The 23,120-nt window shown below is 35.1% G+C and overlaps 1 protein-coding gene across 13 annotated transcripts in view; it reads right to left on the reverse strand.

The window, feature by feature from the left end:
• The window catches only part of SATB1 (SATB homeobox 1), a 100,216-nt gene that overhangs the window by 42,172 nt on the left and 34,924 nt on the right, over positions 1-23,120 (reverse strand). For all 13 annotated transcript variants that reach the window (NM_001322874.2, XM_011533989.3, NM_001322872.2 and 10 more), the window contains 2 exons: positions 9,631-9,742; positions 6,914-7,368 (listed from right to left, as the gene is read on the reverse strand). In NM_001322874.2, coding sequence (NP_001309803.1) covers positions 6,914-7,368; positions 9,631-9,742 — 567 coding nt within the window. The remainder of the gene's footprint in view (positions 1-6,913; positions 7,369-9,630; positions 9,743-23,120) is intronic.

A 23,120-nucleotide genomic window follows, 5' to 3' on the forward strand; every position in this document is an offset into this window, starting at 1 on the left:
CTCCCCATTGCATTTAAGAGACAATATGAAATAAAAGAATTGGAAAATTTTCTGTTCATTTTATAAGGGCTAAGCAGCTCTTCTCTCTTTAATCTTGTACATGAAATAATGCTTGGAATAGTAAGACATATTTGGTTTCTTCACTTAGCCAGAGTATCAGCTTCAGAATAAAATTTTGTCAGGATTTCTATATAATTTGCAAATCTACTTTCCAATATCCTGCAGAAACAGTTAAAGGTATATTGGGGGAAGGAAGGTAACGTGTCATGTCAAAACAATGAAGCCCCAAGGTTAAAACATTTGTTTTTTTCATGGTTTGTTAGAAGTACAAACCTGGTTTTGTTCCCAAATTTAAAGATAATGTACCATGTTGCCGAAATGCAACAGTTGGGTGCAGACAATACAAAAGTACTGATACTTCTTAAAATGATTTATAAGCTGGTATTTAAAAAGAACTTTTAACAGGTGCAGAGGGCTTCAGAGTCCATTTTAAAGTTGTCTCTCACTTAGTCTCTTACAGCTAAAGCCTGGAAATTGGACCTGAACTTTCGTTTTTACCCTAAGAAATGTGACTGAAGAATGAAGGGCATGTGTCCTTAGGATACTAACGAGTAATGCTGTAACTGTGTCTACACAAGAGCAAAACATCTAGTCAATTTAACTAAAATTCAGTCAAACAGGCAGTCAATCATCCAGCTATTTAATTTGCACAAGGCCACCTAATTAGTTTGACTGTGTTTCTGATGTGCCATATTGAAAGTAAAACATTCAGGTCTCAAAAAAAAAAAGTTTGAAAATAGGTGTAATGAAATAACCCTTGCTCTTTACTCCTCTCCACCAAATGTTATGTCTTAAAAAATGTACTTGACAAAGCAATATATTCTCAACTACACAGATATGGATACATGAAAACATCAGTATAAACACAATATGCTACAAATTCCTTGAGCATAATAATCTAATATTCACTTTCATCATCCCAGCACAATGTCTCTCATGTAAATGTTTGATAAGTATTTACTAAATGGACTGATCATGTGTATAAAGACCACAATGGAGAAAACAATCACAAACAGGTGATAGAAACTTAAGAACAAGATGTGTTACCCATGAGTCAATTCTAGTAGTAGTTATTAGCACTCATGTTGGGCCTACAGTGAAAAGTTCTGTGGCATTTTTTGAGATGTTTTTCCTAATTGTCTAATAATTAAAAAAATTAGATTAGGGCAAAACATAGTTATAAATATTTAGGATGTTATTTGGGAAACTTGAAATTAGGTATTTAAAAATCCCAAATAACAAAGTACTATATCACATATTTCTATCAAAAATATTTCCTGAGGCAGCAGAGATCTATAGTGAGAAAGTCAAATACAGGAAAACATACAAAATAATATTCTTTCTCAAGTCTTGCTAACATATAAGACTAAGTCATTTCCATATGGTTGAGATTGGAAGGTAGTTATGTCACTTGGGAGAAAATTTTAAAAGTTCTCTACCTATATTTTGATGTTGGTGTGACTTCCTATTTAAGCATACAAGTGTTTTTAGGGGCAAAGCATTTTACTACCACTTAATTATTCTACTGGAACAAGGTTTTTTGTTCGTCTGAAATATGTTGATGGTATAAAGTGATGTTTCAAACCCTGAAACACTCAAAGAGCTTTAAAGCAGCCAGTGTAGACAGTCTCAGGTGTTTCAGAAACCTTTGGGTTTTTTTTTTTTTTTTTTTGGCCCAGAGCTTTCAATGAGGGGAGTGCCCCCTGGTGGAAATGCTTGAAAATATTGTCAGAAAACATTTTGATTAGTGATAATTACTTAAAAAAAAAAGTCACTTTAGAATAATTTTGGATGCAAAATGACTGCTATCAGATCCCAGATATGGGAATGTATGTTTTGGTCCTGTTCAGGTTGTTGTTACTTGAATAGCTGCACTCATATTTATATGCTGAATTCAAGATATATGTGGCCACCAGTTCCCATATCCTATAATTGAAGACATAGTACAGACTTGCCAAGGTCATTTGTAGTACTGCCCACACAGTGGACAGTAAGCGTGACCTTTTACCAAAAATTCTTCATGCTAAAAAATAGTATGAAAAGGCCATCATGTACCTTATTTATGTCATAGAATATGCTGAAACATCAGGACTAAAATATGTCATCAGTATCAAGAATCATTGGCGCTCAATAAATTTGTTGAATTAAATTAAACAAAATCATTAGTCATTCTTGTGTCTGAAAAGAACCTGAGAACTTGTATGTTATGTAGGAAGTTACCAGTACCTCATAAATATTCATTTTATTGAAAATCAGAAGCTGCCTTTCATTGGGACTTCACATCTTACCAATAATTAGATGTGTGCTGTATCTATGAAAACACAAAATTGTTTTGCATTGTCATTACATAGCGGTTAAGTCAGAGTTCTAATTTTTTCAACTAAAGAATGAATTTACTGCTGAATTCCTAAACCTGTTTTTACATTCCAAAAACAGTTTACAAGTTATTACAAGTAAAATTCATTAGTAGTTGTAAAAGAAAGAAAAAACCTCCAATAAATATTATCAGTATTTCCAAAAGCTAATTATGAATTCTTTAAAACAGCAGATAAGCGAAAGAGACTGCCAATCTGAACAAAAAGGCTGTCTGGCCTCCCGTTTGTCTCCTCTTTGAACATAATCACTGATTCAAATAGATTTTATCAGCTTCATGGAACTTCAAAGCCCTCAGGAAGAAAATATGATTTGATGAAACCTCCCTCCTAAAAAGAAAATACATAGAATATTCTTCAAGGCTACCTGCCTCTGTTGTTTGGTGAATTTTTAATCCTATGTCCAGGTAAAAGACTATTTTCAAACTCCACCTACTACCATGGATTCATGCCAAGTAAGTTTTAAGTAGACACATTTATCTCTGTCGTTTGGCAGGCTAACCAGAGAGCTGTCTTGTTGGGGTAATAGCACCTTTTTACCTTTTATTCAATAGTGATATGGATAGTGGACTTTTCTTAAATTACACTGTGAAGAATTATAGAAACACAGTAGCAATTTCTGTTATACTTAAGCAGGCAAATTTCTCTCCACCACATAATTTACAGAACTCAAATTTAATAAAACATTACATGATGGTCCATTACTGTTATCAGTTTTGAATAATCCATCTTCATTCTTTATTTTACTGGAAAATAAAGTGTGCCAAAAGACAAGAGGAGGGGGAAGAAAAAGGGGAAAAAAGCCACAGAGTGGGATCAGAGTTAAACTCTGAATTTTATTCTTTTAAAAATCAAAGGGTATTAAGGAATGTATTTGCATGTATCAGAACCATTAAATAGCAATAAGATAGAGAAGTGAATTGAAAAGTAGAAATCTAGAAGCTTTGGCAATTACTTTTAGCCATAGGTTTCCATTAAAAAGACATCAAGTAGGCATAACTGAATGAATGACATATGCTAAAAGCTGATATCTTCAACGGCAATTAAAGAACCCATGCCCATCAATTCAGAAGGGGAAAAATTCCTTAAAACAAGTAACTATATAAGTTTACCATAAATTTTCAGAAAAGGTAGGCTTAAAAAAAAACCCATGTGCGAAAGTCTTGGGAGGGTAATGTGTTAATATAGGGAACCCTATTAAGATGATAAGAAAATTCTCAATAGTTAAAACCTAAGACCCAGGGTTTTAAAGTTATACAGAGCTTCAATGACTAAAATAACCCTCAATTCATACAAGTGTTTTCTATCATATTAAGGTCTTAATGCCGTTTATAAGAAACAGTATCTTCATCTGACCCTATCATGTAACTTTGTATTTGTATGTACATATTTTACATTAATTTTTTTTTTATTATACTTTAAGTTTTAGGGTACATGTGCACATTGTGCAGGTTAGTTACATATGTATACATGTGCCGTGCTGGTGCGCTGCACCCACTAAGTCGTCATCTAGCATTAGGTATATCTCCCAATGCTATCCCTCCCCCCTCCCCCCACCCCACAACAGTCCCCAGAGTGTGATATTCCCCTTCCTGTGTCCATGTGATCTCATTGTTCAATTCCCACCTATGAGTGAGAATATGCGGTGTTTGGTTTTTTAATGTTTTAAAAGTTGGAGTTGGAACTGCACATTGTACTAGGTGCACACAAATGTGTGATGTGTGATTTAACTCTGCAGAGCTCCTTGTCTATACATACGCATTAGCATGTGTATTTTCATACTCCACACTCACACCATACCCTCTGCACCTGCTTTTATTGAAATGCATACACTTTGAAATCAACACACTACATCCAGTCATACCAATGCATAATCATTAAAAAATAAATGCAGCTGTGTATGTATGTGTGTGTGGTTTTTAAGAATGACCAATGAAAATAAATTCATGCCTGCATGTGCAAAAGTTAGTTCTCAAGGAATTAATATTGAAATATATATACAAATTTCCTCTTAAGTCAAACATCTTCAAATATGGCCCTATATCTACTTTGACTGAAGAGTATCAATTATCAATATAAAGCTTTAAAACACCCTTCATAATCCAGGGCACTAAATATTTTTTTGGTAATGACTTTTTTTCCTAAATTGGCTATTATTAATAAGGAGGTATCTGCAATCAAGCTATACAAGGTAAAGTTTTCATTCTCCTCTCACAGAAAAAAAAGTCACTGTTTTTGATATTAACCACAGAGATGATTACCTTTTTCAAAGAGATTAATATGGTATAAAAGAGAAAATTTTGCCTTTCTTCCAGTAACAAATCCTGTAGATATTGTGGAATTTGTCCTTTTAAGGACCAAAGGCAGAACAAATGGCCAACTCCTCATAGTAATGGCTGTAACATCATAAACCCAAAAGGAGAAAAGCTGTAATGATGGGTGACAACTTTATCCTCACTTCTCTGAGTTCTACTGTCTTAGCATTCTTCACTATATAAAGGACACTTACTTAGTGCTTTAAGAAATAACTGCTCAATTTTTAAGACACCAGTAACTATATATATACACATATATACATATATATACACACACATACACACACACATATATATACACATATATATACATATATATATAATTTGTGTCTATGTCATGATGTCTTTGTGGGCTTTTAACTCAATTCAAAAAAGCATTATTGAAATGTTATGTAGAGACCTACTTTTTTTGGCCTAGTACGGAGAATTATTAGTACTTACTATATTTACTAAAATAAAGAATGCTACCAGAAACAGGAATATTTAGAGGGTTGACTTTTGAGCCATTCATTTTCAATAATTATCCCCCAACTGAATATAGGTGTCATATTAAGTTCACCAGCTAATGATGAACACAGTTTTTTAAGCTATAAAGATATAGAACTAGGTAAAACCATACAATTTTAACCTGAGACATAGCCTTGTGCAACTGCCTTTTCAAAAACAGACGAACGTACAAAAAAAAAAAAAAAGATGAATCGACTGAAAACAAACACTGAATTAGAGGCTTTGTCAGGTCTCCTAACTCCCCATCTAGTTAAGGCACGCCAAAAATAAGTCACAGCTGGGATTCTCCTAGGTATGGAAACTCTGCAAACTAGGAATTAATACTAGATTACTTCTGTACCAGAATTTTATTCTCATAATCATAATCATGTAATAAACAAAATAACTTAAATATGAAAGGAAAATGTGAGTCAGGTCAAAAAATAAGATAAATTGACAAAAGAAAGAACAGTGGTAAAACAAAAGAGCTGAAAAGGCATAATGTCCTTCTTCTAATCAAAGTTACGCGGTTTTTCGTTTTTGTTTGTTTTTTGGTTTTGTTGTTGTTTTTTGTTTTGTTTTAGTGTACCTGGGCCAAAAATAAACACCATATATATCACGTATCATACTAGTTTCCAAACAAAGAAAAAAATTCTTCTCATTCACAGTTCAACAGAGTCAATTTGTTTAGGGCTTCTCAAATATCTTTATCTTATGACCTCTCATATATATCACTTTTTCTCCATGACCCTCTTAAACATCTTCCAGGCTGATAGATAGTACCTTCACAGGAATTGGGCCAGGAAGACAAAGGTGTGCACATTAGGGGTATAAGCAGGCAGTGAGATCTCTACAAATGAGTCTGCAAACTAAGGCCTGCCAGCCACACTTACTCCATGGCCTGTTTTATAAATAGTTTTACTGAAATACTACCATACCCAGTGCCATTCATTTATAGTCTATGGCTGCTTTATTACTCTACAGTGTGACCGAGATTTAAGTGCTTCAAAACCTAAAATATTTACTATCTGGTCGATAACAGAATAAAGTTTGCTGATGCCTGGTCTAGACAATGAATTTGGAAGACAATAGCATGAGGGAGCGCACACAGCTTACAAATATTTTATGTTAATAAGTCATATAATATTTTTTCAAAATGGCTGCTTAGAATTAAGTGGATTATTGCTTCCAAGGTGTTAACAACAACAAACAACAACAACAACAACAACGCTGCAGTAGAACTTTAAGAGGGAACATTTATATACCTAAGTTTGATATGGGTAGTAACAACATAAATGGAAAAGACAATAGGCTAGAAGCCTGGAATCCTGCCAATAGCCTTGACTGAGTCATGAAACTTTTCTTAACCATCTACTATAGCTTATGATTCCATTATATAAAAGCATAAGTAATGCCAGTTTAAAGTACGTTTGACATTTAATTAGTCTTTCAAAGGCCCTGAATTGGGATCAATCTGCACATAGGTTCCCTTGATTCAGAAGTATATCATAGGAAAAGGAGTGGTAAAATTGAGGCTCCACCAGGAATAGGTAATATGATCACATGAAGAGAGAGAGAAAATGTTAGTACAGAAGTAAAAGAATAAACTTTAGTTATAGATGGGACTAAAGAAAGAGAAAATAGGAGACAGCACAGAACCACTTATGAAACACAACTGACCTGAGTTCTGTTAAAAGCCACACGTGCAAATACCGCCTGGGAGATTCCTGCTCGTTTCAGTTCATCGCGTACCCACTGGTAGATTTCGGAAGACACCTCTGTGTTGGTCGAAACCTGTTGCTCCAAAGGCTTATTCATAGATCTACTGACAGGGGGAGGGTGGTTCAAGTATTGTTGGTTTAAGGACTGCTGGGCTAAAAGTCTATTCACTGCATACTGCTGGTTCAGCAGCTGAGCCATCACCAGCTGCTGGTTGACCAATTGAGGACTGATAGGTGTTGATACGAGCCCAGGGTGCAGGTTTGGAAGAGGTGTCCGGACAGAGGGCTGGCTGCCATGGGAGAGCTGCGCAGGGGATGGAGGCTGCTCGGCTGTGTTCCCTGGAACTGGTTGCTGGCCAAAATTGACATGATTGGCGCCTTGCTGGGATAGCTCAGAAAGACTATCCATTTCAACTAAAGTGGACAAAGAGTAAAATCACATTCAGCCAACAATGATTGGCATTGATAAAGATTTCTAACCATTTCCTAAATTAAAAAAGGGTAGGCACAGGGCACACCCCAAATCCAATAAAACCAAGAAAATTTCAAGTTGCAACTTACCAGGCTGTGTTTTTGCTCTCCTTTCCTGAACAATTCTACAAACTTTGGAAATGGGACAGCATTCCTAATCTTATTTTTAAAAAGTGGTTTAGATTTAAGGCATAAAATCAATTATTACCCAAACTCTTTCCAACTAGTTGTTCACTCTCACTTATTACCCCAAGAAGGCTTCTAAGCAACAATTTTTAAAAATGGCTTCTAAAAGAATGTCATTTGCTTAATGACAACTACAAACAGTGAGCTGAGCTGAGAAAATAAGCTTATAATAAGCAACTAAAAAAATTTACAAATATATTCTCATGATATTCATTAACTTTAGTACTCTAGGAAAAAGGTGTAAAAGAAAAAATATGACATAAAAAGTCACCTACTTTCAATTTTTACCCAGCAGTGAATAGAAGTAGTTAATGTAATAAATAAAAATGGGCATAATAATAAGTGTATATTGAACACTTGCTGAATATCTTATATGCCTTGCTTCATTTTAATTCTAACCATCATGGGCAGTAGGTATATCTGGAAATACTTTTTAGAATAAAGCAAGTGATTTATTGTATATCAAGCCAGCATACCCAGTGTTGCTAAGATCCAAATGTTTTTTCTTCAGGAAGCTATGGCCATCACCAGATGCTAAAGACAATCTTGCAGGGAATCGTTCTGGTACAATGGTGAGGCTGTCATGATTTTGCAATTTATTCCCACCTACCCAGGATGAATGCTTCTTCCTTGGCTAGGTTCCTCATATGGATTGGCTGAGCATCATCTCTAAGTATGTAAATGCTTTTCTGTACGAAGAGGAGACTGGTTCGATGCTCTTGGCTGGAAGGGCTGAGCATGAAGCTGTACATAAACAGGACTTTCCAAATTGTACACAGACTTCCCACATGTAGACTCTAGTTTGATTTTAATCATCAATTCTCTTTTCATTAAATATGCAGGTTTTACATTTAGAGGAACTTTATCATAGCGCTATAGCTCCTGATATACGCAAAATATAACTAAGAATTGGGGAAGAAATCTTCAATTTCTACCAGTGATATCAGCCCAAGTGGGCCATTCACAGAGAACAGTAATTCAAGCAATTATTCCAAAAATGATGCATTGTCTTCATTACAGCCTTAAGCTATAAAAGGCAAAGAATCCATTTTGGTAGATGGATGGTTTTTCTTCAAATATTAAGAGCTAAAACTTGCTCAAAATTTGGATTAATTTTTCTTAAAAAATTAAAAAAAAATTAAATGAATGTAAAGAAATAAATAGAAATAGATTTAAAACAGGACATAATGCCCATTCCTATATTATTTTAAAATATATGTTTTGGAGGGTAAAAGTAGGTGAAAGAGAACAGTAATAAAAATTAAAACATTAACCTTAATCACAGTGTTTGCTTTTGTGAACATTAACAAACTCAACAGAGAGAAAATGCCATCATCTAAATGCTTAGGTACCATACACAACTTTTATCTATCATTTTACACTGCAGATAATTTTAGTGTACTTCTTGCATAACAAATATTCACCTAAAGTTATGTGTTAAGATAGAATGCTACCTTGGAATTAAAAGTTCAGAAATGATGCAATAATTGTTCTGGTATGGATGGTAAAGCAATGTGCTTATCAAAGTGCCCATCCATGGCGGCTGGGGGTTAGAGCTATAAAAATCACTTGATCTCTACTGTGGAAACTATAAATAGTTTAATTTAAGAAGTTTAATTTCCTTTAAAATTGGGTGTAAAAATAGGCACTTTCTCATTCAACCAGACAAAAACAAAAAACCTAAAAGCAAGACTTATCAGAGAAAGAAATCACAGCTAATATTAGTTATTCAAGGCCTGGTTAGGTCTTCACTGAGTTGTTAAAAAATGACAGCTCCCCTCCCAACGCCTCAATTTCCTGCATGTCTGACAACCAAGTCAGTTTGGCTGATTTAAACACAAACATTTATTGAATTTAATTATCTCATTATACTCATACCCACTTCCCACCCCCAAAGAAACATTCTAAATTGATCTCTAATTGGGCAATCAAAAGACCTGGCTTTAGATGTGACTTTGATAAACCCCCAAATGACACGTAATGGTATGTAGCCACTGCTGCAATGTTTTTTTTGCTTACCCATCATATCTTTTGTCTTCTTGAAATGTTTGTACCACCTTCCAAATTCTTGACATTTTGCTGCTGAGACATTTGCATAGTAAGTACTGTTCACAATGGAAGAAATCATACTCTGCATGAAGAAGGGGGGAGAATATTTGTAATACACAGCAGCACAAGATGGAACACAGAAATGATCTCAATTGTGGCAACTGTATTTTTTTAATCAACTGAGTACCAATACATTTTGGTTTCACACTTTAGCCTAAAGCTTCGACTTCTTAATATTCATTAAGTAGATCATCAAATGCTTATTTAAGTAGAAAGCAACAGCCCACTGAGACCAGTATAAAGCTATCAAACCCACAGACTTTGCTCTAGCATTCATTGAATCTCCATCAATGCCATCTATTACTAGGCTGTCAAACTCACTGGTCCCAATAAATCCAAATACATGAAGATGACTTTATAATTGTGACTCATAAATATACGAGACTTCGCGATTTTTTGACTGGACTCTACATCTTTTCTACTCAAAGTATAGACCAGGGACCAGCAATATGGGCATCACTTGGAAGCTTGTTAGAAATGCAGAATCTTGGGCCCTACCCCAGACCAGTGCACTTAGCAGCTGAATTTTACCAAGATCCCAGGGGATTCACATGTATATTAAAATTTGAGAAACAGAACTTGCACTTTCCACTCTATTATTTGGATTTAAAGTGGACGCGCATTAACACTGATCAAAGGTTAACTGACCGTATTTGAGAAGAAACAAACTATTCACAGAGATCCTCTATCAAGAGAAAAACATTCTGCAATCTTATTACTGGCTTCATCAATAGTAAAGCTTAAGTTTTGAATTTCAAACCGATCATAAAAATTTTAAATTTATACATTTCATGCTTCTAAATTTCTCAAGGATACCACAAAAAGATGACCTATCGTGACTTATCTTTATCCTGCTTTTAATAAATGCCCGGAAAACTGTCAGCCCTTTAACATACAAAAATGAAGAAAAACATGATTTTAATGAATCACTAGGAGGGTTTCTTTTTTTAAATCATTTTCAATCTTCCCAGCAAATTTTGGTTACGGTAATTTCAATGACTAAATTCATGGTCCATATTAACCTGTTACCCATATTCTCTAGTAACAGCTAACTTAATTTCCTACCGAGTCTTAGGAGTAAGATTTTGTAGCACCAATCTATCCCTCACCCCTATGTGCAGAAACATGAGAACTCACATTTCAGACATCAGTTGGTCTATGGTGAAATAATTTATAGAAGGCAGCATTGTTCAGGAGGCAGTGAACAACCAGAAAAGCCAGTTTGGGGACAAAAGTATTTTTATATAATTATCTTCTTTAAGTTACCTCTAATGTAAAGCTCTTTCAGTTATTATTCATTCTCCTGACATCCACTATCAGTGTTAATTCTGTAGCATGCACACATTTCTGGAATATGTAAATTTGGGGGATCTCTAAAGAACTTCCAGTGAAGGATAAGCTGGAGTCGCATTATTTATGTAAAACACAGCTATCTTTCCTAAGAGGCACTGTGATATCTTTTTTTTTGACACTCTCTATAGTCATTTTCACATTTTATATCTCTAAAAAGACATTCTTAATGTGTTCATGATGCTCTGCCATTAATCCAATAGCTTGCAATTTCACTAAGAGCCTCCCACAGTCCACAGTGTAAAAAGACACTTAGCAAAGTTGCCAAAACCAGAGCCAGAAGATTACCTGATCTGTCAGCTTCAATCTCACTTACTCTCTTGTAATAAGGGATCAATAAAGTCAGACACTAATAAAAACTATTGAGATCGCTGATGGATAATGGTGATTCTTCTGCAAATGGATGACAGTTGATGTTCTTCCACTCTGGTCCAATTTTTAAAAAAATTATTACTCTTTATCTAGACATTCTGGCAGTTCCTTAAATGTTAATAATACACATGAGTTCTAGATGTGGTTTATGTCTTACTTTTTAGAAGTGTATGGAATATCCAAATTTTGCCGAGGTTTTTGACAAACATCCAGTCTACTCCAGTTTGCCAACAGTTCTATATATGAAATTTGCTCTTTGCTGCACACCTACTATATGCCTGGCTGGTAGTAAGGATGCAAAGATGGCAGACAGCCTCTGCCTACAAAGATGAGGCACCTGTCATCCAAAGATGGCGGACAGCCTCTGCCTACAAGAAGTTTACTATCTATTAAGAACACAGATATGTAAATAGATCATCTCAATTTAATGTGATTTGGTATATCAACAGTGGAAAATGTATAGGGGACGACGGAAGGAAGAATCATCCATGGTGTGTGTGAAAAAATGTCTGAAATAGTTTTATAAAACTAGAACCTATATGTAATAGTGCTATACAGTTTATTATTATTCGTACATGGAAAATAATATCCATATGTGCATCATTGTCAAAGCTTCCCCCTACCCTACTTAACCCTAAATTGGTAGGTTCTGGGCTTAAGTGCTTTTCTGTCACATGGTGTATGCTTAGGAAACTCTGATTAATGTAAATAATAGCCTAAGCAAGACTTAAATCAAAAGGCTAATCCGTAACTTATAATGCATGACAAAGCAACTTTTTGGATTCCCTATCTTTTTGTGCTTTTGGGTGACTGGGAAATATTTCCTAATTCAGGTAACTTGGAGTCATGTCTATTTTTATTGGACAATATGCAATAATCTGTCCAATTAGATTGCTCCTATAGCCACTTCATGAGGTGTATGTGTGTGGGCGTGGGCGTGTGTGTGTGTTTCAGGTGGTAAAATTCCTACTAAAGGCTTAGGCATAGCATTGGAGTAGACCAGCCAGCCGGTTTCAATGGCAGGAAAGAGACTGCAGAATTTTGTGGTGCACATGGCATTTGAAAAATCATATACAGTAGTGTAATCTTAAATTTAGAATATCAGGAAAAAAACACGTAATGTTTTGATAACACAAATAAAAAAGTCATGATTGGTAAAATTTTCCTAGGTGGTGGGATGTACAGATAGTAGGCCAAGTTCCATGTTAGAAAGGCTTGGGATTCTTGTGTCACTTAAAAGGAGGTACTGGTTTAAAAAGATTGCACTAAGCTGTGAGTTCACGTAGGTCTGGGGCACCATATTATTTTCTAGCTCAATGCCTGGCATGCATTAATATAAACACTAAATGTTCATCTGACAAAACAGAATAGAAATAAACATATATTCAAGTGAGGATGTGTCACACACTGGTAGTATGACCTTGGGTCAAATAGTTGACCATTCCATCACAATTTCCTATGCTAAATGGGAATGATAATAGCATACACCTCATGGAGTTGTTCTGAGAATCCATCAATTCAGGCATTTTTAAAATTCATTTAGCATATACTTAAATTCTACTATGTGCCAAGCACTGGGCAAGTCACTAGGAAAATAATGACTTGAAGAGACATATTATCTGCCCTTGGACAGGAAATAATAGATGTGATACAATTAGCACAGAGCCTGTAACATATTACATATAGACTGAAGAGATATTAATTACTATGACAATCCTTTGCCTCCTCCTCATCACTGGGCTTTCATTATATGATCACATTTCATATCAGGTGACTATGTTTTGAGTATCAGATAAAATTTTCAAATGATATACAGTATTTTGAGTCTTTTTAATGTAGAATGAAGTATACTGATTAAATTATTAAGTTACAAGTTGGTACAAGGAATAGTAAAGGAAAACACCACGGGGAAATATTTCTTTCCTTCTCATACTCCAATTTGGTGGTGTTTTCTGAAGCTGGCCTATATCTGGTAGAAAGCATCAAGAAGGCACACCACTCCTCTGGCTTGGATGCACGGCCCATGCCCTCTCCCATCTCTAGCTAACAGCTGCTCATCCTTCAGGATACAGCCTGGGCATCCTTGCTTCCATGAGGCCTTTCCTAACTTCCCAAACCTCCTGCAGCAGAGCACTCATCCTGCTGTTTATTTTGCACTGGACTGTGGGCCTTAGGTCTCATCTGAATATATCCTGGACTCATCAGAGGGCTGGACACAGACTAGGTGATCAATAAAAAGGGTCACTGAAACAAGCCACCAGAAATCCTCTTCCCCTTTTTTCCCCTTAAAGGTCAAACATAATAGCAGCTTAACTATGACACGAATCTTTCAAATCCATCGCTTTGGCTGTCGTGATAGAAATCATAGTTTCAAGAACCTTTGTTCATTAATTTGCAAGAGATCCCTTCCCAGGTTTTTCAAAATACATCCACACAGATGTCTCGGAAGTTGCAGTGCTCGGTGGTTATGTTATTCCAGTTCTCTCTCAGTGTCTATTTATATAAGCTATCCAAAGCACTTTGAAAAAGACACAACTTGTATGGCAAGTTTCCTATTCAGTGGCTGGTCTGTATAAAACATCAATGTTCACAGAATAAAATAAACCAACCGACAAAACTCAGTCGGTTGAAATACCAAGTTCAAATGCTACACGGTACACCAACCAATAAATAGGCCACAGCTTCCAGTGTTGGGAAATACAATTTCAAAGTTGGCAGAAATTGGCTGTGGGTCTCATAACCCCAGTGTGACACAATATTCTCATCCTAGGAGCCAAGTTGTAAGCTTTTCTAAGATCCATAAAGCACATGTCTACTCCCTATGAGGAGCTTCGGTTCTTTCTGAGAGTCTGCTGAAGTTCCGATCTGAAAGAATGCCATCTTCACAGAAACCCCAGTACTCTAGAATGATACCATCTGCCACAGGCTGAGCTTCCTTTTCAGCCAAATACATTATTTATAACCTTTCTAATTGTGAAAAGGTAAGGGTGGAATTTTTCTAAAGCCTAACTTAAAGATAGATAGAACATTCTGAACCTTTGCTCTAAAATACTCTAGCTCTTTTAAATTTGAAAAACAAAAACCACAAAGAATCGGTTAAGGTTACATAATGTTTCAAAAAATTTTATTCTTTTAAACCCCTGCTACAATATCATATGTACTGTAGGTATATATCTATAACACGTTTAAAAATGAAGGAAGATGGTTTTATTTTTTTACTTGTTCATCTCAGTAGCCAATGAAGGGGTTTTGAGAGAGGTGAGGCCTTCTCAAAAAAAGATTCATCAGATGGGGAAAGGCAGTGATCTGATTACCCTTAAAATTGCTTTGTTGTGTCTTTAACAACAACCAAAAAAAACCACCCCAAAACAATGCTAATCAGGTTATTCAATCATTTAAACCAAAACTGTTCATGCTTTTCTGCCAAATCAACCAACCACAGCAAAATCTGTTATCACTGATTGCTCAGCTTCCAGTCAAAAAACAGTTAACCCCCACTATACCAAAAGTTTTCCAAATACCCTCAGAGCTCTGCATGCTCATAGAAAATAAAGAGAAAACCATGTCAGCTTTAAAGGGTAATTGGAGTGCTGTACCATATTTGCATATTACAATATACCCTAATAAACTAAACAGCCTGTACCGGAAGCCAGCAGCTTCCTAGTATTTCATATGATCTACATGCTTGCGTTTTTTGCACTACTTTAAAAACAAAACAAAAAAAACAGGACTGTGATATCATGATCAAAACTTATCAAGGACTTGCCGATGGTTTAGCTGAGGTGGGGAGGAGGTAGCAAGAGCATCTACAAAATGGTGGTTCACCCATGTTTAAAGCTTTCAGGCTCCATCAGCAGAGAGGGCAAGGGCTACAACATCTTATTTACACAATTATCTAAATACGATTAAACAGCTGATGGACAAATATTAAACTGGAAAATGTATAGTCATTTCAGCTTAATGTAATCCTCTTTCTGTAAACACCCAAGATGATTTTTTTCAACCAGAACAGTCCTGACATCTCATAAGCCTAAGGGTGAATAGCAAGAGATTGTTTTTGATAGTTATAAATATTCAAAAGACATGCAGACCATCTGCTTTCATAATACAGGTAAAGCAAGACTGAAATGGTGACTGCTGTATAAAAATGATTCTTTTAACAAAGTCTTCCTCTCCTCGAAAACTATAAAGACAGATGTCAAAAACTGTTTACACAGAGCAATCAGGAGCGTGCAAAATGTAATATTCCTTTTACACACAGTGCTTGCTAAAGAGATTTTTTTTTCTTTTTCTTCCCATCTGTGTGTTGCAACACATTTCTACAAGTTAAAAACATTTTTTTCAAACAGAGATCTCATGAATACCCAAAAACATGCTATCTGGTTTCTGAATGCTAATTAATTTCAACTAAGGAATCTGAATATCTTTTTTCTGTAGGAAGGAATGTATGTTTTGAATTGGAATACTCTAGAGAGACAGCAAGGGAAATAATCTTGCACAGGTTTTATTCTATAAGGAAAATTTCATGGTTCTACCTGTTTATAATACATATCTGTTATGTCTGTGCTTTAAATGAAAGCACATCATTCCTAATGTCTTTGGCACAAAGTCTAAAATAATTGTTTTCTGAAATAAATGCCTGCACAATGCAAAATGTGTATTTAAAAAAAACCTTTAACTTCTCAGTCTATGCATGGTGATGTATAAAGCCCTACAGTTAATTTTCAGGGATGGAACACTAATCTTGACAGTAACCTTTTTATGTATTGTATTAATGGCGCAAAGGCATTAAGCACCTTTTTGTAGTTTTCAATAAAATGAGCATTTACTGAACAATCTGTCAAACTACTGGCTTTTATTATATTTTTATTTTTTGAGAAGTTCAACTTCATACATTCTAATCTCCCACCCCTTTGTGCATGTCCTGACTACCTATGGCCTGATTTTTTACAGCAGCTTTTTATCTGTCCATGGAAAATTCAAAGGTCAAACTTTAACTTCACATCAACTACACATTCAAATACAATTTTCACAGGGATTCCTCGTAAATGAGGTTTTCTTTTAATCTCAAAGGACACCAAATACTACAAACAAGCTCTAAGAGGCATCGTATGAGATATGATATATTGACAAGAAATGAATTTGTTGAAAATTAACAGGTAGTTCCCATCTGGTATTTTGGGGTGGGAAGGACAGGAAATGGGCTTCAATTTATGACAGCGAATGGCAGGATTTCTAAGTGCAATATTCTGTTTGTGCTTGTCAGCTTCTGTTTCCCAAATCTTTCCCTCTGGATCCTCTATTGCTTTCTAAGCTATTCTCTTGGGAGATACAACTGGGGCATATTTGGAATCTCAATTTGTTGAGAAGAGACTAATCACTTCTAAATTTTACTTAAACTCCAGTTGTCATAGTTATGGCTCTTGCCATCTTGATCAATCCTAGTGCCTGAAAATGGCATTTTCATACAAAGTAACCCTGGCACATTGCTAAAATTGGAAACTCAGTACAAAGCTCCAAAGGAATACAAAAGGAAGCACAAAGAGAACACATCCAATTCTATTTTAATTTTCCTACTATATTTCCTAAAGATGAAAATGTGATCATATCAAAGCACAGAAATTTTATTTATTTAAATACTCGATTCATAACTTTTAAAAGAAAATGTTGGTTCACAGTTTATATGGCTCTTCCATATAGTTAAAATAACTTACATAATGCCCAGATAGTATGTTCTGACCAGATTCTCTATTCTGCCCTTTTGTATAAGTACCTAGCCAGACCTTTCTTATCACACTGAAACCTAACTCAAACCAAATGAATATACTGGTAAAGAGCTTAAACTATAAAATATTTTTAAAAGGTATATTAAGAGCATGTGATATTCCAAATTAACTGCACACAGAAGCTGTAACATGAAGGGAACTGAACTAGATAATCTCCAACGTCTCCTCTAACAGATTTAAAAGTCTATGAAATCTGTATGTCTTCTCAAACAGAGTGACTAAAAAAGATTCAATTGTAACGCACATTATTCATTCTCAGGTACTCACTGTGCAAATGTCTCCAACTAGAGTCTTATTTTTAGGAAGGTTACGACCCCATTGGCATCCTGCTTATGATTATTTAAAATACACTCATTATTAACTTATATATTATGTTATATCCAAATAGAATTTTCACAAGTTTTTCATTAGATAAATATGAATCCAAGGAATTTTATTTGATTTTATTGACAAAATTGTTTCCTGATTCTGAATCTTAGGCACTCTATACCAATGTACCCATTTGAGAAATCTCTTTCTCTGATGCCCTTGTGTGGTTAAATCGCTCATCCTCTCTAGAGATTACAATTTCTAGTATCTGGAAAGATACCAAATTCGTGTTAAGTTCCAGAGGTCCTAAATAGAGCCTTTTAAAAAAACAAAACAAAACCAAAAAACCCTTAAACCACAGAGCGAAAACAAGAACTAAAGTACTTTGAGCAATTCATTTTCCAAAAGTAAATATTAGAATTAGGTTCTGTAACTCTTCACAGGAAGACTTTATATTACCTCTTTGCATTCCTTCTGTACAGGAGCATATTAGATTTTTAAGCCATACTGCCTAAAAATTGGAGGTAAAATACCTCCTGGCTTTTAGCTCTTTACAGGGCCACAGAACTAACTCTGGAAATTACATAAAACCTATGAAAGCTGTCCTCCATGCATTCCCAAAATTGGCTTATAATTTCAGGGTCTGCACAGATTGTGGGGTCCATGGACCCCTCTCAGATCTGATCCAAGACTTCACAGAAGACTGAGGGCTAAACCGCAGCTTTGATTTCTGTGTTTTATTCATCATTGTCAGCTTTTAGATAAGACTTCCCATGTCTACCAGATAAACATAAACCAATGTCACCTCTGGATTAGATCATAAAGAAAAATCAAATTAATCTGGCTTCATCTCAATCAATATTATGAAAATCCTTCACAGTGTAGGAAAATGCCATCCTCTGGTAATCATCTCATTAGAAGTTATGGCGAAATGATAAAAATGTGTTGGAATGGGTTGTAAATCATATAATAAAGAGCTCCATCCATCACTAAACATGTGTTTTCCAGGCTGAGCTGGTGATCACGCAGAAAGTGGACAAACCAAGTCCCTAAGGCCCATTATGGAATGGCTGAACAGTTATCTACCCTTGCAGCTCTCTCTAAATTCAGGTGACTCTAGACCTGTATACAGCTGACTTTAAAACACTGCATGTTTATAGCCTTAAATGGAGTCTCTTATGCCAAATGTAGACTTTAGAACACAACTGAGGAATGGACGCTGGAAGTGAACATGGGGTGATACTGTTAACATTTCCGTATTGGCAACATCAGTATCTTTGTCTATAAATTATCTGTTATTGAAAATTTCCTATTTTACTCTTGAATATGAGAAGAAAATAAACAAATGAAAATAATAGTGAAGAAGTGTGGGTCTCAAATATAATGTAACTGAGACAAAATGAAAATTATTAGCCAGGCTGAAATACATGTACAATTGTGGAAGAAAAATTTTAAAATTTAGAAATGCTGCATATGTTTTTAAAGCTTGCCCTTAACTGTGATGTATAATCAGGTCTTTTTAAGCATTCAGACCTCTGAGTTCCCTGTAACTCCAAGGCTATTGTTGTGCTTACAAATGTTTAGTACACATATTCATGAACATTATCAAATATACAAAAGCATGAGACAGCTTGAAATGTCAGTAGGTTTTCTTAGAGAAAAATTCAGAAGTGATTTGTTCTTTGTTAGGTAAAAATACAGAATTAAGTATAATAGGAAAATATTTCATAAGATAGGATACTGTAGATAAAAGTATAAAGTACTACTAATACAACTACTGACACGGTATACTGGCTTATGAAATAAACATGTGCAAATCCTACAAGATTGTTTAAGTCTGACGAATATTCCCGAGTTCCTACTGTGTGTCAGGATCTATGACAGTGATGAATACAACTTAGTTCCTTTGGGACAATTACAGTGTACACAGCCTAGTTAGTCCAGACTATTTCAGAACAATGTGGCAAATGCTACGATGGGCACATAAGGAGAGGACAGAACCTTGGGTGCTGGGAGTACAGGCGAAGTTAGTTAACGGAAAAGACACTGGGAAAAGCTCACCTCTTGGTAACAGTCCCATCAGGTATCTTTATTCTACTTGACATTATCTAGCCTAGGGTATCATATATGCTAAACTTCCAAATGGATTTATTTAAAGTATAAGCTGCAGTCTTCCACTTCCAATTTAAAATACATCATAACTTTATAATGACTGTAAGTGTTCCTTAATGTTGAGATTGAGTTATAATATAGTCTTTTAATTTTTTCACAAATGAAAAGTATTTGGTTGTTTTCACTAAAAATGAAGATTGCACCAAAATCTTCCATGTAGCCAGAGAGTTACATAGACCATGTGGCATGCACAAGTGTGATTTCAAACTCTCAATGCCCACATTTTAGAAAAACAACTAGTTATGGCACACTTTAGGACTGAAAACTGTTCTAAATGTTTTCTAAGTACTAGCTCATTTAATTCTCTAAACAATGCGAGACATTGGTACTATTATCTTCCGACTTTATAGATGAGAAAATTGAGTCATGGAGTCAGCTGCCCAAGCTCATATAGCTGGCCACAACATAACTCACATTCCTGATTCCTACGATGCTAGGAGCTAATTAAAGTGATGCTAGAGAGCAATGACAAACAAAAACACACAAAAAGTAACACAATGAAGTTGCTGAAGAAATGCCATTACTCTAAAGAAACAGTCCCATTAAAAAGTAAAAAGAAAACTAGATCAAGCTGTGTCGTATGTTATCATAAGACAGGAGTTTCAATACAGAGAAGAGTCTCATTGTGACATTTCACAAAGTTAATACTTGTTACATTTCTGAACTTCCTTGGAACAAATAGTAGGTGGACAGTAAAATGGGACAAGCCTGAGAGAGTTGGTGGTATCCAGTAATGAAGTACCATGTCTTGTTATTCAGATAAGAATGTGATCTCAAATAGTGCTAGCAATTAAAGCTTTAATCTTTTCTTAACTTCCAACCTATCAACTGGTTTGCATCTTCAACCTGAGTAAACTAAATTAGATTAGCATTTCTATGGGAAAATATTACAATAGAAAATAATCAATTTTTTTAAGAGAGAAAGATGATGACTAAAGAGAACAAAGTTTCAGAGTAAGAATGAGAGAAAAAGACTGCTAAAGAAGTCAGCCACCTTCTCTGCCATGAGGAATTCTGCAATCTTATGAATTGTCCATGATGAAACTCCAGCACCCCGTAAGACTGCATATTAGAACACAATACAATCTTATATTTCTGTAGCGCCCTTCATGCAAGCATCCCAGGGTGCTTTACAATCATTATGAGTTAAAATTAAAACTGAAGCACATACAATTCCTAATAGAATCATTTTAAAAATGCTAAACAGAACAAATAACTTTTAAGTCTAGATTTAAAAGTCCCAACAGCCAGAGCGTTCCTTACTTCAATTGGCAATGAGCTGCAGAACCAGGGCTGAGGCTCTCCTCTGTTATGTTAAAGGCTCTCTTATGTTTTTCATACTCAGAGCACGTTATAATCAAGCAGTTTCCAATGAAAGAGGGGGAAATTGAGTTCGTGTATCTGTTTGTTTTGATTATCAGGTTTTTTTTTTTTTTCCTGGAGTTGGGGGTTGTTCATGGTTTGCCCAAATCTGGCATGAAATGAAGCAGATCTATAAAGCAAATCCAGATAGAGCCCAACTTCAAGTTTAACTAGTAATTGAGAAAAAAAGATGTCTAAAATATACTCTAAAACTAGTTCTGTTTTAGCAAGAAAATCAGTTTGAGTAGCATGATTTGTTTAAGTTGTTTTTTAAAACCATTAGAAAATAGCATTTAATAGGCTTTCTCTCAGGCCATGTCTACTCCTAAGCCTTGGGAGTATTTATTATTCTAAGCATCAGGCAAAAAAAAGAAAGAGGAAAAATACTCTCATGATATGGTAATTTTCCCTGCATTAGTGATTTTGAGGTCAAAGGAAACCTATTCAGATCTGAAACAAGGCACAGGTAAAAATCTATTAAGTGAAAATAAAGTAATTACACATTGTTAAGCACTCTCTAAATTGGCATAGCTTAAACTCTTTTATGTTTTACTATTGTGAAAAGATAGTGGCTATAAAATATTTGAGATCAATCCATTTTAAATTAGATGCTTTATTAAGTTTGGCTTTTTTGATTAATATACCTGAAAGGTTACAGAGAGCTAACATCAAGCTACGATAAAATCCTTATGCATCTAAGTCATCTAAAAATGAGCCTGATATATTAGATTCAAAAAGGAAAACTTGCAATTTGGAGGACAATTCTGTTGTAGATTATACACATTATAATATTAACACAGAGCAGACATCTCACTAAGTTGAAAAAGGAACTAGAATGATGTCATGACTTGTTCAAAAGACGAGGCAAAAAAATTATTTGATGTAAGTTTTGCAATTCACACAACTACCCATATAAGACAGGTTTACCATTTCCTTTATGGATCCCACCATTACAGTAATACAATTGCTGAAAAGTGGTCATAATATCCAATTAGTATCAAGTACTTCAGTGCCTGGCAAAGCAGATATTTATAATCTAAGATTCCCACGGTCAGTAGGGTAAAAACTAGGGAAAGTTTTTTAATGTTAAAAAGGAAAGAAGATTCTCTGTAGAGCTTTTATTCAAAATATATGATGTTTAAACATAAGATAATTTTATACTGGGAAGGGGCAAGTACAAAATCATTCCAGCTCATCTCAAACAGGAATCCTTTTATTTTAAAATGGAGCTGCTCGTAAAAGACCAGTCTGATGACTGGAGTCTGTATTTTCAAACAGACCCAAGAAATTCATCTGCCCACTATTTCTAATGAAAATGACTAATGTTACCTTGGGGTTCAAAACAAAGGGCTATTAGCATAATTATGCCTACTGGTCTTGAGAATATGAAAGAATAGGAAAGAGAAGTAACTGCACAGAACTATACCGGCAAATCTTCTGGAACGTCCCAAATACCAAGTTATCCCAAAAGTCAGTTCCTGTCTAGATCACCCATGATTAGGGGCTTGATATGACAGCAATGTACTTTTAAAACAAGACAACATACAAACAAAAAATCAAAGACACAAAACCAAAGCACGGTAAAGAAAATTTTCAGCAATGAGAATAAATACACTTGGAAAACTACAAGTAGTTATCACTACTTTAGAGAAATCAAAGCATATTATAAAACCTATCCAATTCATCTGAGAGGCTTTCATTTTGTCTTTTTTAAACTTCCTTTATCTGTGGTATGTGATGAAAAGGCTACTTGGTGAAGCTCCCGGGCTCTCGGTATGAAGTCTCACCCTTGTGCTTCACCAGCGATGTAGCCATGGACGCTCACTCATGTCAACATTCTGTGCCTCAGGTTCCTCATTTAAAAATGGGGATATAAGACTATATCCTACTTAGGGGGACCAAAGGCGCTCTCGATACATCAAAAGCACTAAATCAAAGTGTAATACTATTATTTCAACTAATAAGATGTTATATCCTTAACACTACATAGGAAATGGAATGCCTGGCATACGGCAGACTGTCAATACATACTTTTGAATATATGAATGT

Source organism: Homo sapiens, chromosome 3 (assembly GCF_000001405.40).
Source record: "Homo sapiens chromosome 3, GRCh38.p14 Primary Assembly".
Lineage (NCBI taxonomy): Eukaryota > Metazoa > Chordata > Mammalia > Primates > Hominidae > Homo > Homo sapiens.